The sequence below is a fragment of the Homo sapiens genome, chromosome 6 (assembly GCF_000001405.40).
Source record: "Homo sapiens chromosome 6, GRCh38.p14 Primary Assembly".
Taxonomy (NCBI): Eukaryota; Metazoa; Chordata; class Mammalia; order Primates; family Hominidae; genus Homo; species Homo sapiens.
In genome coordinates, this window is record NC_000006.12 from 89,720,081 (window position 1) to 89,735,903 (window position 15,823).

At 39.4% G+C, this 15,823-nt stretch overlaps 1 protein-coding gene across 1 annotated transcript in view, besides 1 other annotated feature; it reads right to left on the reverse strand.

Moving 5' to 3' along the window:
* The window catches only part of MDN1 (midasin AAA ATPase 1), a 177,297-nt gene that overhangs the window by 77,583 nt on the left and 83,891 nt on the right, over window positions 1-15,823 (reverse strand). Inside the window, exons 34-40 of the mRNA NM_014611.3 lie at window positions 12,477-12,695; window positions 10,646-10,843; window positions 8,851-9,059; window positions 7,753-7,875; window positions 5,119-5,316; window positions 3,432-3,539; window positions 2,875-3,063 (exon numbers count right to left, since the gene is read on the reverse strand). Of these exons, the coding sequence (NP_055426.1) occupies window positions 2,875-3,063; window positions 3,432-3,539; window positions 5,119-5,316; window positions 7,753-7,875; window positions 8,851-9,059; window positions 10,646-10,843; window positions 12,477-12,695 (1,244 nt within the window). The remainder of the gene's footprint in view (window positions 1-2,874; window positions 3,064-3,431; window positions 3,540-5,118; window positions 5,317-7,752; window positions 7,876-8,850; window positions 9,060-10,645; window positions 10,844-12,476; window positions 12,696-15,823) is intronic.
* Window positions 1,082-1,583: an enhancer, noted in NCBI's record as "NANOG hESC enhancer chr6:90430881-90431382 (GRCh37/hg19 assembly coordinates)". NCBI's record gives its function as "activates a minimal SCP1, AML or CMV promoter by ChIP-STARR-seq in naive H9 embryonic stem cells {active_cell/tissue: H9 hESC(naive)}" and the evidence as "EXISTENCE:reporter gene assay evidence [ECO:0000049][PMID:30033119]".

The window sequence follows — 15,823 nt, forward strand, 5'->3', positions numbered from 1 at the left end:
ATAATTGAATACTACAATGAAGTTAAAAAATAAAAATAATATAGATAAAATCATAATCAGTGTCAAACATTGGACTGTGAGACTAAAAGCAGCATAGGAAAGTGTTCCTGTCACCTACCTATGAGTCCAGGTGATACATGACCTCATGTTCCACACTAAAGTATATAATCTCCAACCCCTGATGTTCTACCAGAGGGTTAAAATTACAAATATTGCTACTCGGGAGGCTGAGCCAGGAGAATCACTTGAACCCAGGTTGCAGTGAGCCAAGATCACGCCACTGTACTCCAGCCTGGGCGACAGAGCAAGACTCCATCTCAAAAAAAAAAAAAAAAAATTCCCAATCTAGCTCTTTGGTTTAGCTTTATAAAATCAAAATTCCATTCAACTGGACTCTTCTAGCTTTTACAGACTTTATCCTTCTATAACATTATTTTTCTTGACCTTGTCTCCCCCGCTAGAAAACACCTATAAGGTCCATTACAATAACCTTGAATTGGAAGAGTGATGGAAAACTTCCACATACCACAATGACCCAGCACCTGACTAATCAATCATTCAACAACTGGCATGTGTTTTGGTCATAATTAATATACTATAAGTGGATGAAGAAATTAAAATACTAGCTGATTATGTGAATTATATATCAATAAAGCTGTTAAAAACTACTAAGACTTTCTCCTAATCAAATGATTGAAAGTCACCTACGTATGATAAATGAGTTAGTGTGTAATTAGATTCTGAATACCACACTAAAGAAGCTCTGGGTGGCCGGGCACAGTGGCTCACTCCATTTGTAATCACAGCACTTTGGGAGACTGAGGCAGGAAGATTGCTTGAGCCCAGGAGTACAAGACCAGCCTGGACAACACGGCAAGACCACATCTCTATTAAAAGTAAAAACAAATTAGCCATGCCTTGGTGGCATGTGCCTATAGTCCCAGCTTATCAGTGGGCTGGGGTGGGAAGATCCCTTGAGCCCAGGAGGTCAAGGCTACATTAAGCCGGCATTGTGCCACTGCATTCCAGCCTAGGCAACAAAGTCAGACCCTGCCTCAAAAAAAATAAGAACAGCTTTTCGAGGTAGGAGTCGACTCCTGTGAGGTATGGTGCTGGGTGCAGATGCAGTGTGGCTCTGGATAGCACCTTATGGACAGTTCTGTCCCAAAGGAGGGATGAGAATAGCTACTGAATTGTTTCTTCCCAGGTCCTAAAGAGCAAGCCTAACTCAAGCCATTGGCACACAGGCATTAGACAGAAAGCTGAAGTTGAAATGGTGGAGTCCAACTTGTCTGGACCAGCTTAACGGTTCTGCTCCTGGTAACGTTTTTATCCGTGGATGGCTTGCTTGGGTAAGGACATGAAGACAGTTCCTGTCATACCTTTTAAAGGTATGGAGAGTTGGCTTGACTACCCTGTGTGGAGCAAGTTTTAAAGAAGCAAAGAACTCAGAATTCATGCTTGAAGAAATGCAGGCAGACCTGTTATCCTAAACTAGGGTTTTTAATGACCACAACAAGCAAGCATGCAGCTTACTGCTTGAAAGGGTCTTGCCTCACCCAAGCTGGAGTGCAGCGGCCTTTGAAGCTTACTACAGCCTCAAACTTCTGGGCTCAAGTGATCCTCAGCCTCCCAATGGTCTTTGTAGACCGCCTGATGGAGTCTCATGGCACAAGAAGATTAAAACAATGTCTCCAATTTTAATAAATTTTTGCAATCCAAAAAAAGAAAAAAAATAAGAACAAACAGAATGGGTAGCAGAATGAAAGGGCTGTGAAAGTCACATGTGCTATGGGCCAGCCACATGTTCACATTTCAACAAGGAGGTTACTGCTTCTAGTGCATGCATCTATGTATCTATTCATTTATTTTCAAACAGTGAAGTTTACTAGAAGGAAACAGCAGACAAACTGGAGAGGGCCTAAACTGGAAAGCTGGCTCTGCTACCTGTGACACTCCATAACTTTAAGCCTTGGATCTTCACCTGTAAGATGCCATGACAGCACCTCCTGCCTATAGCTACTGTGAGCATTCAGCGAGACAGGATTTTAAATACCACAAACTAAAATGCACACGTTATTACAATTCCTTACAGTGGGAATTCTAGTTTTACAAACAGGTATTTTTATTTTCACTTAAACACAGAATATTCTCTCTTTATACGATTATACTTTCTAGACAAAATGCTTTGTAATTTGACATTTATTTAAAAACAAAACAAAACAGAAAAACTTCCTCTTCTACGGAGTATCACCTGTCTGCCTCCTCCTGCTTCTCACCTTGGTGCCTGTAAAGATGGTGAAGACTTAGTTCTTTACTACTGGAGGGCAATACTGCTTTAAGGTATGTGATCATGGGGATTTGGATAGATAAGCAAATTATGTCCTCTAAAGCAAGCTACTCTATATTGTGAGACCCCAAGGTAGGAGAACGTTTAGTCTGTTCTTTTAACTTTTAAATTTTGAAGCAGCTTTAACAGGCTTGCTAGCCGGGCGTGGTGGCTCACGCCTGTAATCCCAGCACTTTGGGAGGCTGAGACAGGTGGATCATCTGAATTCAGGAGTAGAGATCTGCCTGACCAATATGGTGAAACCCCGTTTCTACTAAATACAAAAAATTAGCCGGAACTGGTGGCTTATGCCTGTAATCCCAGCTACTTGGGAGGCTAAGGCAGGAGAATCACTTGAACCTGGGAGGTGAAGCTGCAGCAAGCCAAGATTATGCCATTGCACTCCAGCCTGGGCAACAAGAGTGAAACCCAGTCTCAAAAAAAAAAAAAAAAAAAAAGGCTTGCAATTAGTGTATGTCCTTTCTCACCCACAGGAAATCAACTTTCAGATGGAAAGAAATACAAATACCAAGCGTGAAACTCACCTTTTTTTTGTCCTCTTCGGTTCTCATTCTTTCACCATAGACCAAAAACACATGCTGACCAGGATCATAACACCCAGGGGACTGGTCAACCAGCATCAACTGACACCAGCGGAAAAGGTCCCGGAGGTTGAATTCCCAGGGTCCTCCTTTTTGCCCCCATTTCTTCTCAACAGTCACTTCATGATCAATCTAGAAAGAAAACATCCTGATTGGGAAACATGCCCTGCTTACTACTAGGCACTGCATTAAGTACTAGGAATGTACTACAAAAGCATATGTAATCTGAAACAAAAATTAACAGGCTTGATTCAGAGCCTCTTTCTCAAGACTTCCAAATGCCTGGCTTATCCTCTAAGCATTAACACTGGTAGTCACAATACAGAAATGAATTACTGGAAGCCTCCACTACATAGTGTCCCTTCCACTAGAAACCTGTAGAATTCAAAGTAATTTTTTTTAGTTAGAGATCCTGATAATTTGGTAGAACTCTATGTTGAAAAAATACTGGTTCAAATACAGCCAGAAAAAAAAAGAAACCAATACGTGTAGGTACTTACTTGGTTATTGAAAGCAACCATTTTCTTAACAATATTTTTCTCAATGGCTGGAAACAAAGTACTGGCAATGAACTCCATGTCAATTACTGTAAGGGGATCAACGAAGACCTAGAAATCCAAAAATAATATGAAGAAATGCCTTTGTTTCTCTTTACCAAACACTAGAAATGACTACCATGTCTTATTATGCAAAATCTTTAATACCAAGTAACAATACATGAGAAATATAATTTTCAGTTATAGAAATTTCTTTTTTTGTGTTTTGAGAATAAAGAATCATAAAATCTTCTAAATACAGCTGAGTAGAGGTTTTGTTTTTAAGGTCTATTCTAGTGAATTAAAGAAAAAAGAGGCCCAGTGCGGTGGCTCACACCTGTAATCCCAGCACTTTGGGAGGCCAAGGCAGGTGGATCATGAGGTCAAGAGATCAAGACCATCCTGACCAGCATGACGAAACCCTGTCTTCACTAAAAATACAAAAATTAGCTGGGCATAGTGGCATGCGCCTGTAGTCTCAGCTACTCAGGAGGCTGAGGCAGGAGAATTGCTTGCTCCCAGGAGGAGGAGATTGCAGTGAGCCAAGATCACGCCACTGCACTCCAGCCTGGGCGACAGAGCAAGATTCCATCTCAAAAAAAGAAAAAAAAAAGATACATGTTATTAAAAATTTCCTATGTATAATGTAAAATGCTTTTAAATCTGGGTGGTAGATACGAGTATTCACTATAAAAGTCATCCAATTTTTCCATATGTTTGAAAGTTTTCTCAATAAAACATTCTTCTTTTTTTAAGATGGAGTCTCATTCTGTTGCCAAGGCTGGAGTACAATGGCGCGATCTCAGCTCACTGCAACCTCCGCCTCCCGGGTTCAAGAGATTCTGCTGCCTCAGCCTCCTCAGTAGCTGGGATTACAGGCACCTGCCACCACACCCAGCTAATTTTTGTATTTTTAATAGAGACGGGGTTTCGCCATATTGGCCAGACTGGTCTCGAACTCCTGACCTCAGGTGATTCACCTGCCTTGGCCTCCCAAAGTGCTGGGATTACAGGCATGATCCACCATGCCCAGCCAATAAAACATTCTTAAAAGATACTCAGCCAATTCTTAATCATAAGAGACAGTGACACTAAAGAAATCTAGAGACATTTCCAAACCTCTGGATTGGCCAAACTCTGAAAAACTGATGTTAAAACAAGTAAGCATACACATACACAGGTACCCCTCTGCAAGTAAGAATAAAGGCATAAGATACCAAAATGTTAATAATGACTGACTGGGGAATAGTGGATTTTTATTCTTCATAGTAGTTTTCTGTTCTTTCTTTTCTTTAGTTAAAATGCATTATTTTCAATAAAAATTTTTCTTATATATTTCAACAGATCAGAGGGACAATTGAAAAGGTCCAAGATTGGACTTCATCCCAGAGTGCAGTCACAGAATCCTGAAAAGGCTGGGGACCTTACTTTCTTCCAGCTGATAACACATCTAGTCTTCCAGGGCAAAAGATGAAGGACAGAAGCAATGATGGGAATCAGTCACATTAATATTGATCATATAAGGACAAGAAAGAGGATCATTAAGCTGATCCTCTCTAATTCTCATAGTGAATATCCTTAAAGGCTTCATAATAGTAGTCTTATCCCCTCCGAGTCTATCTTTGGTCTCTATGGCAACAGCAAATCTTACCTGAGTGAATCTGTTAAGGAAAGACCTGGGCAAGCCTTTCCTCCCACCTCCTTGTCTAAAGGGATTCTGACACCCAAAAATCTTCGTCTTTTCATGCTGCACTTGAAAGCTCATTCCTAACTCAGGCACATAGATTTCTCCTCGGTGGTCAAAACAAGCATTGAGTCCTTCCAATACAGACTGAGAAGCCAGGTTAAGCTATTTAAAGAAGAAAGTACATAATTTGTCTCAAATATATTATACAACTGCAACAAAAAGCAGGGGAATAATATGCAGCAAATAAAGCTAGAGTTATCTTCAGAAAGGGAATTTCAAACAATATTGATAACCTTCTGTATTTTTGGCTGAGTTATGGTTGGTTTGTCTTCATTCTATTATGCTTTTGTTTTTGAGACAGGGTTTCACTCTGTCACTCAGGCTGCAGTGCAGTGGCACAATCACAGCTCACTGCAACCTCTACCTCCAGGGCTCAAGAGATCCTCCCATCTCAGCCTGCTGCATAGCTGTGACCACAGGTGTGCACCACCACATCCAGCTAATTCTTTTTTTTTTTTTTTTGGTAGAGCCAAGGTCTTGTTATGTTGTCCAGGATGGTCTCAAACTCCCGGGCTCAAGTAATTCTCCAACCTTAGCTTCCCAATGTTAGAATTACAGGCATAAGCCACTGTACCTGGTCCAATTCTATTATTCTTTATTTCCCATGTATGTTAGAGATTTTGTCTGGTATTTTATACACACACACACACACACACACACACACACACACACACGTATATATACACACATATATTAATAATCTTTAAACTGAATAAATGCTCAAATTAAATTTTAAAGTTAAGAATCTTCTCAAAAGTTAAACTGTATCCATTACATATAACCTATATTAACCTGCTCTGTAAGTAATAACTTGCAGAAAAACTTGCCAATACACAGATATTTCATTTTCACAATCTGAGTTTTTAAGATGTGTAACACAAATTAGCCAGGAGTGGTGGCTCATGCCTGTAATCCCAACACTTTGGAAGGCCGAGGCAGGTGGATCACTTGAGGCCAGGAGTTCAAGACCAGGCGGGCCAACATAGCGAAACCTTGTCTCTACTAAAAATACAAAACTTAGACATTGTGGTGCATGACTGTAATCCCAGCTACTCAGGTGGCTGAGGCAGGAGATTCACGATTCAGTTGAACCTGGGAGGAGGAGGTTACAATGAGCCGAGAACCCACCACTGCACTCCAGCCTGGGCGGCAGACTGAGACTCTGCCTAAAAAAAAAAAGAAAAATAGAAAAAAAAAAAAAAGAAAAGAAAAAGAAAAAGACATGTAACACTAATTGTAGAGAATAGATAAGGTTTGTTAACTCTTTAAATACTTTCCCATCTCAAACACTGAACAAAATCTCCAACGGGTTTCAAAGTCAGGATATAAAGTGAGTTAATACAGCTGATTTCCACCAATTTTGTAAATAAGAACAATTACAAGGGGCTCTTGTGCCAGGATGAAAAGAGCTGAATGTAGGTCTTCAGATGAGTAGTTCAGAGCTCAGGGATGTGAAGCATGTGTGGTTTGTTGGTAACATAGAAAAAGGAGATCGGGAAAATACAAGTTATTAAAATGCAAACAGGCAAAAATCAGAGCACACTACATTAGAATTTCAAGTGTCATGTTTACACAAGCACCACAAAGCACAAACACTTCTGTATATTCCCAAACAGAAGGCCGCTCTTAAATGTGTTTATAAATCTAGAATGTCTTGTCGTCCCTGAATGCAATTCCACTAAATATGCAATTCCACTAAATACTAAGTATGGTCAGTAGCCTTCAGCTTTAAAACTAGGCTTTCTCTTTTCCTGGCTAATATATATTCTATCAGACATCTTGTTCAAAAAAAAATCTGAAAAATGGAAAAAAATTCCCTCTCCTTGTTATCCCAAGAATAAAAGGCAGAAAGCAGCTCAGCAGACAGGAGTCCCACAGCACCCTCTCTGATGATCAGACCCAGGAGTCTGAACCTGGGGGACCTGTTGCAGCCTGTGTCCAAAGTCTCACCTGTGACACGTACATCACTCTAATCATTTCAGCTCCACAAATATTTCTAGCCTTTTCCTGAATATTGTACACCCCAAACTGACCCAGCTCCATATCTCTAGTTGTCAGAGATTCAGTATTTATCATGTCTCATACTCTGCTCTTTCTTCTGATGAATAATTTACCCCATATGCACACATAACGGATCGTTTCCTCATTTCAGTAGGTCATTTTGTATGTCTTTCCTTAGTCTCTCCGGTGCACTAATAAAACATGAAGCGGTTGACGCTATTTATAAAATGCCTCTAAAATAAATGCAGAAACGGCAAGCCTGTCAGAGACTAAACTAGTGACGATGCAGTTTTCCTCTGAAGGATAACTTTAAACAGTGGGAGAGTTTGTAGGTTTTATGTACAAGGGCCTCTTTTTGTGTATTCTGCCAAGTGACCTTCCTCATTCTTAAAGAAAACTACAGAGGATCTTTTCATTAGAGAAAAGTCATCAGCGGGATCTTCCACTGAGAAATGGATTGTGAAATGGAGCTGTGAAAGGATGACTGCTCCTCACACACATGATCACCGTCTTGGGCATGACAAACAGGCCCCTCACCTCATCCAACACCACCCAATGGCCTGCCTTCAAAGCTGCCAGTAAGGGGCCATCACGCCAGGCAAACTCTCCTCCCTTGCCACCTTCAACAGGTAGATCTGCTCCAAACAGGTCTGTGATGTCCTTTGAAAGGGGAAGAAATGGAAAGAAGCCATTATTACTTTAAAAATCAACTGGATTCTAACACCCTAAATCTGAAATGATAAATACTTGGGGCTGGCACCACTACTCTTCCTTCCTACACCCAAGATAGAACTAACCAATCCCAGCTCTCTTTACCAGGAGCCCAAACATGCCCCCAAGAACTTTCCCAACATGTTCCATATATCAATCAATTTGAGCTGGTGCTCTAGATTAACAGTTCTCAACATTGGCTGTACTTGGAATTTAATTGACAGGCTTAAAAAAAAAAGAAAACAAAATCCTATTCCAAAGGATTCTCATTCAATTTGTCATCTGTACCATATTTTCCTTAGATTGTTAAAAGTCATTTTATTTCTACCACTTTTTAAAAAAAAATTTAAGCAAAAAATTAACTGGGGTTATATTACAATAAATACCAAAGTGGATAATTCTCTCTCGAAAGAGAATTAGAATAAAGCATCCAGAGAGAATTAATATTATAGGTGTCAGCAATTAACAAATCCAAAGAAGATTTAGTTTGGAAGGTCATGTTGCTGTGGGCTTTATTATGATATGAAATATCTGAGGATACAGGCCAGGCGCCATGGCTTACGCCTGTAATCCCAACACTTTGGGAGGCCAAGGCAGGTGGATCACTTGACATAAGGAGTTTGAGACCAGCCTGGCCAACATGGTGAAACCCTGTCTCTAATAATAATACAAAAATTAGCTAGGTGTGGTGGCGGGCACCTGTAATCCCAGTGATTAGGGAGACTGAGGCAGGAGAATTGCACCCCACTGCACTCCAGCCTGGGCAACAGAACGAGACTCTGTCTCAAAAAAACAAAGAAAAGAAAAGAAAAGAAAAATTTGAGGATACTGATAATGTAATCATTTCTGATTAGGCAAATATAAATTGACACAGACATTACTATCTATAGCTATCTCCATCAGCTGTAGGATGACCGAGCTTACCGTTTGCTCTGATAAGTTGATTCTAACAAGGGTATTTCCTGAAGCCTTTGCTAATGCTCCCACCAAACTTGTCTTGCCAACACCAGGGGAACCCTCCAGGAGAATGGGCTTCTTCAGTTTGGTAGCTCTTAAGAGCCTCTGTGCATTCATAGCAGTGGTCCCTGCACTGAGTGCATAGTCTGCAATATTATTCCTGTGTAGGACAGGTCCTTAAGTGGAGAAAAGTAAAGTCATGTATAAGCGGGACATCATCAAATCACATGTATGCATCAACTCAAGATTTTAAAAATCTACCACATGGGTTATCAGTTAGTGAAATACCATTTGCAGTGAAAATGTTCAATCCCTATTTCAATATTTCCCCACTTTTAGATCCATAAAATGCTTTAAAGGAATATCCAATAACACGTTTTCTTCAACAGTGCCTACTACACAGATCTCTCCATCTCCTATACACATACATGTACATGCAAACACACACCTGTCCTTTCACAACCTACACCCTGAATCACTGTATGTACTTGTACAATTTACCTTCATAGTTACTTTCCTAAAAACCAAGTGTAAGCTAGGCATATGGGCCACATGGTTCCACATAATCAACTTCATCCAATGTTTTTGGCCACCAAAACAATTCACACTGTGTCCTTAACCTGTAAGTTAACTGATATGCAGGACTAATAACAGTCTTGTAATATTTAACATTTGTGCCACTGTCTCTTGGAAGAAGTTTTTGTTTTGTTTTCGTTTTTTTTTTTTTTTTTTTTTGTACACCAGTTTGAAGGGAGTGAGGCTAGGAAAACATTTATTACCTCACCCTTGGTAGCAGAAGCAAGGACCACCCCAGTTCTAGGCCACTAGCATGTATCTCCTACACAGGAGCACTGAGTCCTATGATGGTGGCTTAGAGAAGGGATTTGATGGTTAGATTATACAGCCCATCAGGGATGAAGAGAGAATACTGCTAAGGAGAGATGGAGCTCTGAGGACAGGGGCAAGGGCAATGGAACCTGGACTGGTTATGTTCACCACTGAAACCCCAGTAATTGCCACTGCAACTCCATATACTTCAGGCATTCATCAATCATTAACATAGAGAGGGCGGAGGGACAAGAAACAGATGACTCTGCTACAGAAACAACATCCTGAAAAAGTAGAAGCACCTTAGAAGTAGCTAATCTAACTGCCTCATTTAAATACTTGGTAGAGACAATCTAGTTAGATAGAAAGAGAGAAAGAATTAGAACACAAACCCACTATCTCCTAGACTACTGCATTTCCCATTTAATCATTCACTCATCCATCAGAAATTTTCTGAGTGCCTATGACTGTGAGGCCTAAATGTCAGATGCCAGGGACCGGATCAGGAATGACACATTACCAGCCTTCAAGGGTTCACAAAACCTGTTTCTGTAAAAGATGATGAGGTTGTATAGTTAAGATACATTATAGGCTAAATAGGTCTTTGCAAGCCACTTAAAAGTTTATTGTCAACATTAGTAGAGTTTAGAGCTTTACTATAGGAAAGTTCCTAATGTGGGAACCAACTAATAAAAAAATAAGCACTGTATAAGACAATCTATTTATAGATTGAAGTCTCTATTTCCCTCTATTTTTACATGCCAGTCAGGTATTTTCAACCATTCACACAATTATGGTTATTCTCAAGTCAGAATCTAACTCAGTTAGTGCAAATATAATCATGAGTATTACACATTAAAACTAAGTCACAATAAAAGCCAAGTATCTATGATCTATAGAAAAGGAAAATTCATTTTTTAAAAATCATTCTTACCCCTTGGTATAAAAAATGGATGAATTCCCCAAAGGTTATCTATTCCAGTGAATTCTTTGGCCTTCATTCTGTCATAAATCTTCAACTCATTTTTCTGATATTCTGTAAGTCGTACTATCTTGGCAAGCCTCTTGATTAGAAATTTCAGACATTCTTTTCGTGCCAAAAGGGCTGTACCAAACCCAGAGGAAGTTACCCCTAAAAGACAGAGGATCAGTCCATGAAGCAACAGTACAACACCAAGCTTCACCACCATTAAGCAGGAGCTCTAGCACAGGTTCCCGGAAAAAAGAGGCCTCAGCAAAACTGCAGCCTAAATGTGATTTCTAGTGTAAGCAGTCCTAAGAAAGAAGTCCAACACGCATCCCCCACAATCTATGGATTATCAATTAAGCAGCAGATCATTCAGTAAAGCACTCTAGTCACTCAGTGATAAATCAGCCTACATACAGTACCTAATATGGCACTAGTAACCATTTTTATTTATATTTCAAATCTTCATGGCTGAAAAACCACAGTGATTTTTATGACATTAAAATAAACTTAAAATATTCAGGCCCATTATCAAAAAATTACTACTCATGTTAAACATTGGCCAGTGCTTCTATTCACAATAGCAAAGACTTGGAACCAACCCGAATGTCCATCAATGATAGACTGGATAAAGAAAATGTGGCACATATACAGCATGGAATACTACGCAGCCATAAAAAATAAGTGCATGTTCTTTGCAGGGTCATGGATGAGGCTGGAAACCATCATCCTCAGCAAACTAACACAGGAACAGAAAACCAAACACCACATGTTCTCACTCATAAGTGGGAGTTGAACAATGAGAACACATGGACACAGGGAGGGGAACATCACATACTGGGGCCTGTCAGGGGATGGGGGGCAAGGGGAGGGAGAGCATTAGGACAAATACCTAATGCATGAGGAGCTTAAAACCTAGATGACGGGTTGATGGGTGCGGCAAACCACCATGGCACATGTATACTTATGTAACAAACCCGCATATTCGGTTTCTCTTCAAATAATCTGATCAATCTTTTATTCTTTAATTCATAGTACCGCCCCCCCCCCCCACCTTTTCCTTTTTCTCCTTTTTTCCTTTGTTAAATGCCCAGGCATGCCACAATACCAGGCGTTATCAATACCAGCTCACATTCCTTTCCTTATTTAAAAAAAAAAAACTAACTTTCTAACTCATTACAAACACCCCTCCCCCTTCCTCTCCACTTTCTTTAACATGTCCACCTTATCTAAAAAAATTCAAATGTCTAGCCAACCAAAATGAGTTTAAATTATACAACCCAACCCCGGCCAATAAAAGAAAAATACAAAAACAAAACTTGCATCAAAAATAAAGGCTCTCGTGCCCTTTGTTCAAGTGTACTCTCATGGCAACTGGCCAAAAAAACACCCCTCTGCACAAAAATAAAATTGCTTTGCTAAAAACCCTTTGTTTAAGTGTTCAATTTCTTTACAATTTTAAGCATTATTCCTAACACATGTATCCCAGAACTTAATTTAAAAAAAAAAAAAAAAGCCAGTGCTTCAGAAGCAAAGACATTTCAGCAGTCTTTACTCTACTCATAATCACCACTTCATGTTTGTTAAGTACCTGGTCTACCAGCTTTGAGAAGTTGCAGTGTATCCTGTGTGCCAATCACCTTTCAAAGAGTACAAACAAAAGGAAAGCCATTCTGAGTTTTAGAAATGTTCTGAGAAGTGATTCAGTAAAATAGCTGGGTCAGAGGCCTGGGCTTGCTCCTTTTCCTATGCCCCTCTATACGAGCCCCTTGTCCCCACCAGCTACCAGACAACATACCTGAACCTATTCCATCTATGTACACCAGGCATGCAGCATGGACAAAAGATGTCACAGTGGAGATGATCTCTGGCCTTTTCAAAGCAGCTTCCTCCCCCATTTTGTTCATGAAGTTAACCCAGGACAGGATATCTCTGATACTGACCACACACTTTCTGCCAAACTCTTGGTGGGTCAGCCAGTCAATGAAATCCAGCATCACTTCAGGTATGTCAGACCCTAAACACAAGAAACAAAAAAAGCATTTGCTGTTAACGGGAGATCCCAGAACAAAAGTTCATAACCAGGGGCACACAAATGGCCTAAAAGGGGTCTCTGCTCCTTCTAAGCAAAGTTCTGTGAATGAATGTACATAAATGCTGTTTCTAACAAAAGCAGCCTGCAGCTTTGATCAAATTCTGAAAGGATTCATCAATAGCAGTCCATCCCTATCCAAAGAACAAAACAAAACCTTGGGAGTTATAGTTTTAGATACTGACCTGAAAACTGCTCAAAGAAATATTCATTTGATTTGAGTTCGGACACAGTTTTGAACTTCTATTATAATTATTTTAGAAAATATGCAAATTTTGTTATATCTTATAATTTTACTTGTATTTTAAATAAATTTATTTTTTCCATTTAATGCAATAAAGAATGTCATCTTTTCAATGGCATGCATTCAAGTTTTTTTCTTTTTTCTTTTTTTTTACATCTATTCAGCAATCAGAATTCAGCAAATTAGGGGGTTCACAAATTTTGTTTCATGAATCAAGTTGAATATTCTAATTATCACAATTTCCTATCAGATAATATTTGTCTCTAAATAAAGAAAATACTTAAGTAGTATATATAGATTCAAAGTAATCCCAATTAAATTGAGCAGAGTACTTTATAAAACGTCTTAAGTCAACAACAGTAGACATTTATCTCTAAAGTATGAATATCAAAGAATATTTTAAAAAGAAAGAAAAGATTAGAAGGAAGCACTGCTATAATATAAAGCAGCCTCCAAAAGCTATATATATATACAGCCTCCAAAGCTATATAGATTGTGATTTAGAAGAAATGTAATTGGTTGGAAGAATACTGATTACAAAAAAAAAAAAACTCTTTAAAAAGAGCTTAAAATGACAAAGCAAAGGGGAAATTCCAGTAACAATGAGGAAACAAATTAAATGCTATTTCAACAACTAGATAGTAAATACTAGTACTTAGATCTACACTTCAGAGAAGAATAAATTCCAGGTAAATTAAAAAAATGAAAATGAAAAAATCCATTAATAGAAATTAAATTTTGACCATTTAAGAAACAAAATCAGAGAGAAATAGGTTCACATATGTATTTTTAAAACAAATATATAAAGGTAACAGAATATTAAAACCTGTGAAAAATGTAATAAAAAGTATCACCCCAAAAGACATAATGAATACCAAATGCAAAATGATTAATTCATTAAAAATAAAGGCCAGGCACGGTGGCTCATGCCTGTAATACCAGCACTTTGAGAGGCTGAGGCGGGCAGATCACTAGAGGCCAGGAGTTCAAGACCACCCTGGCCAACATGGTGAAACCCCGTCTCTACTAAAAATACAAAAATTAGCTGGACATGGTGGCACGTGCCTGTAATCTCAGCTACTTGGGTGGCTGAGGCACGAGAATTGCTTGGACCTGGGAGGCAGAGGTTGCAGTGAGCCAAGATGGCACCACTATACTCCAGCCTGGGTGACAGAGTGAGACTCTGTCTCAAAAAAATAAAAATAAAAATAAAACACAAACAATGTTCCATGTCACTAATAACAAAAGACAAGGAAATTTTAAACCTCTGCTAAACTAATAAGGATAAAATAATGGATTTCACTATATTTTTTAAAATGAGGCCAGGCACCATGGCTCCTATCTATAATCCCAGTTCAGACCAGCCTGGCCAATATGGCAAAACCCTGTATCTACAAAATACACAAAAATTAGCTGGCCATGGTGGGCACGTCTGTAGTTCCAGCTACTTGGCTACTTGGGAGGGTGAGGTGGGAGAATGGTTTGAGCCTGGGAGGCAGAAGTTGCAGTGAGTCAATATTGTGCCACTGTACTCCAGCCTGGATGACAGAGCCAGACATTGTCTCAAAGGAAGAAGAAAAAAAAAAAAAAAAAAACAAGAGAGAGAGAGAGAGAGAGAGAGAACTCCCTGATGGAGGGACTGTGGCATGCAGGCACATTCACTACATTGCTGGCAGTGTTGTAAATGATACCATCTTTCTGGAGAGCAATCTGACCTTATCTAAGGAGAACTATACAGTTTCTTATCTCCACTTTTAGAATATAACACAAGGAAATCATTGTAAATGATAGTTGTTTCTTGGTTGTTTTTTTTTTTGAGACAGTCTCATGCTGTTGCCCAGGCTGGAGTGAAGTGGTGTGATCTTGGCTCACGGCAACCTCCACCTCTCGGGTTCAAGCGATTCTCCTGCCTCAGCCTCCCAAGTAGCTGGGACTACAGGCGCCTGCCACAACGCCCAGCTAATTTTTGTATTTTTAGTAGAGACGGGATTTCCCATGATGGCCAGTATAGTCTCAATCTCTTGACCTCGTGATCTGCCCTCCTCGGCCTCCCAAAGTGCTGGGATTACAGGTGTGAAAGAAAGCACCCGGCCAATAGTTTGTTTTAATGAAACAGAATGGTTCATTAAAGTATTGACTAATGTACCAATACTTGGTACATTAACCAATGTAATACAGAAGTATTGTTTACAAAAGTTTGAGATTGTAAAAAGCAGTTCATGTGCCTTTCACAGGTCAATTTTTTTTTTTTTTAAACACATCAATATCACAGAACCTTTTTTTTTTTTTTTTTTAAAGAGATGGGGTCTCACTCTGTTGCCCAGGCTGGAGTGCAATGGTATAATCATAGTTCATTGTAATCTCAAACTCCTAGGCTCAAGGGTTTCTCCCACCTTGGCTTCCTGAGTAGCTAAGATTATAGGCACGTACTACCATGACTGGCTTTTAGAATCTTTTGTTTTGGTCATACTGTGAATATATGGATAATATTACTACAGAGATTTGTGAACTAAAAATACTAGAGAAATTAAGTAGAACCCACAGTGGTATTTATATACTCATTAAGATAATACAATAAATATAAGTACTACAATTAGGATCAGAATTCAATTTAGAAGGACACTATTAGTTAAAATATTAAATTCGGCCAGGCATGGTGGCTCACACCTATAATCCCAGCACTTTGGGAGGCCAAGGCGGGCGGATCACAAGGTCAAGAGATCGAGACCATCCTTGCCAACATGGTGAAACCCCGTCTCTACTAAAAATACAAAAATTAGCTGGGCGTTGTGGCACATGCCTGTAGTCC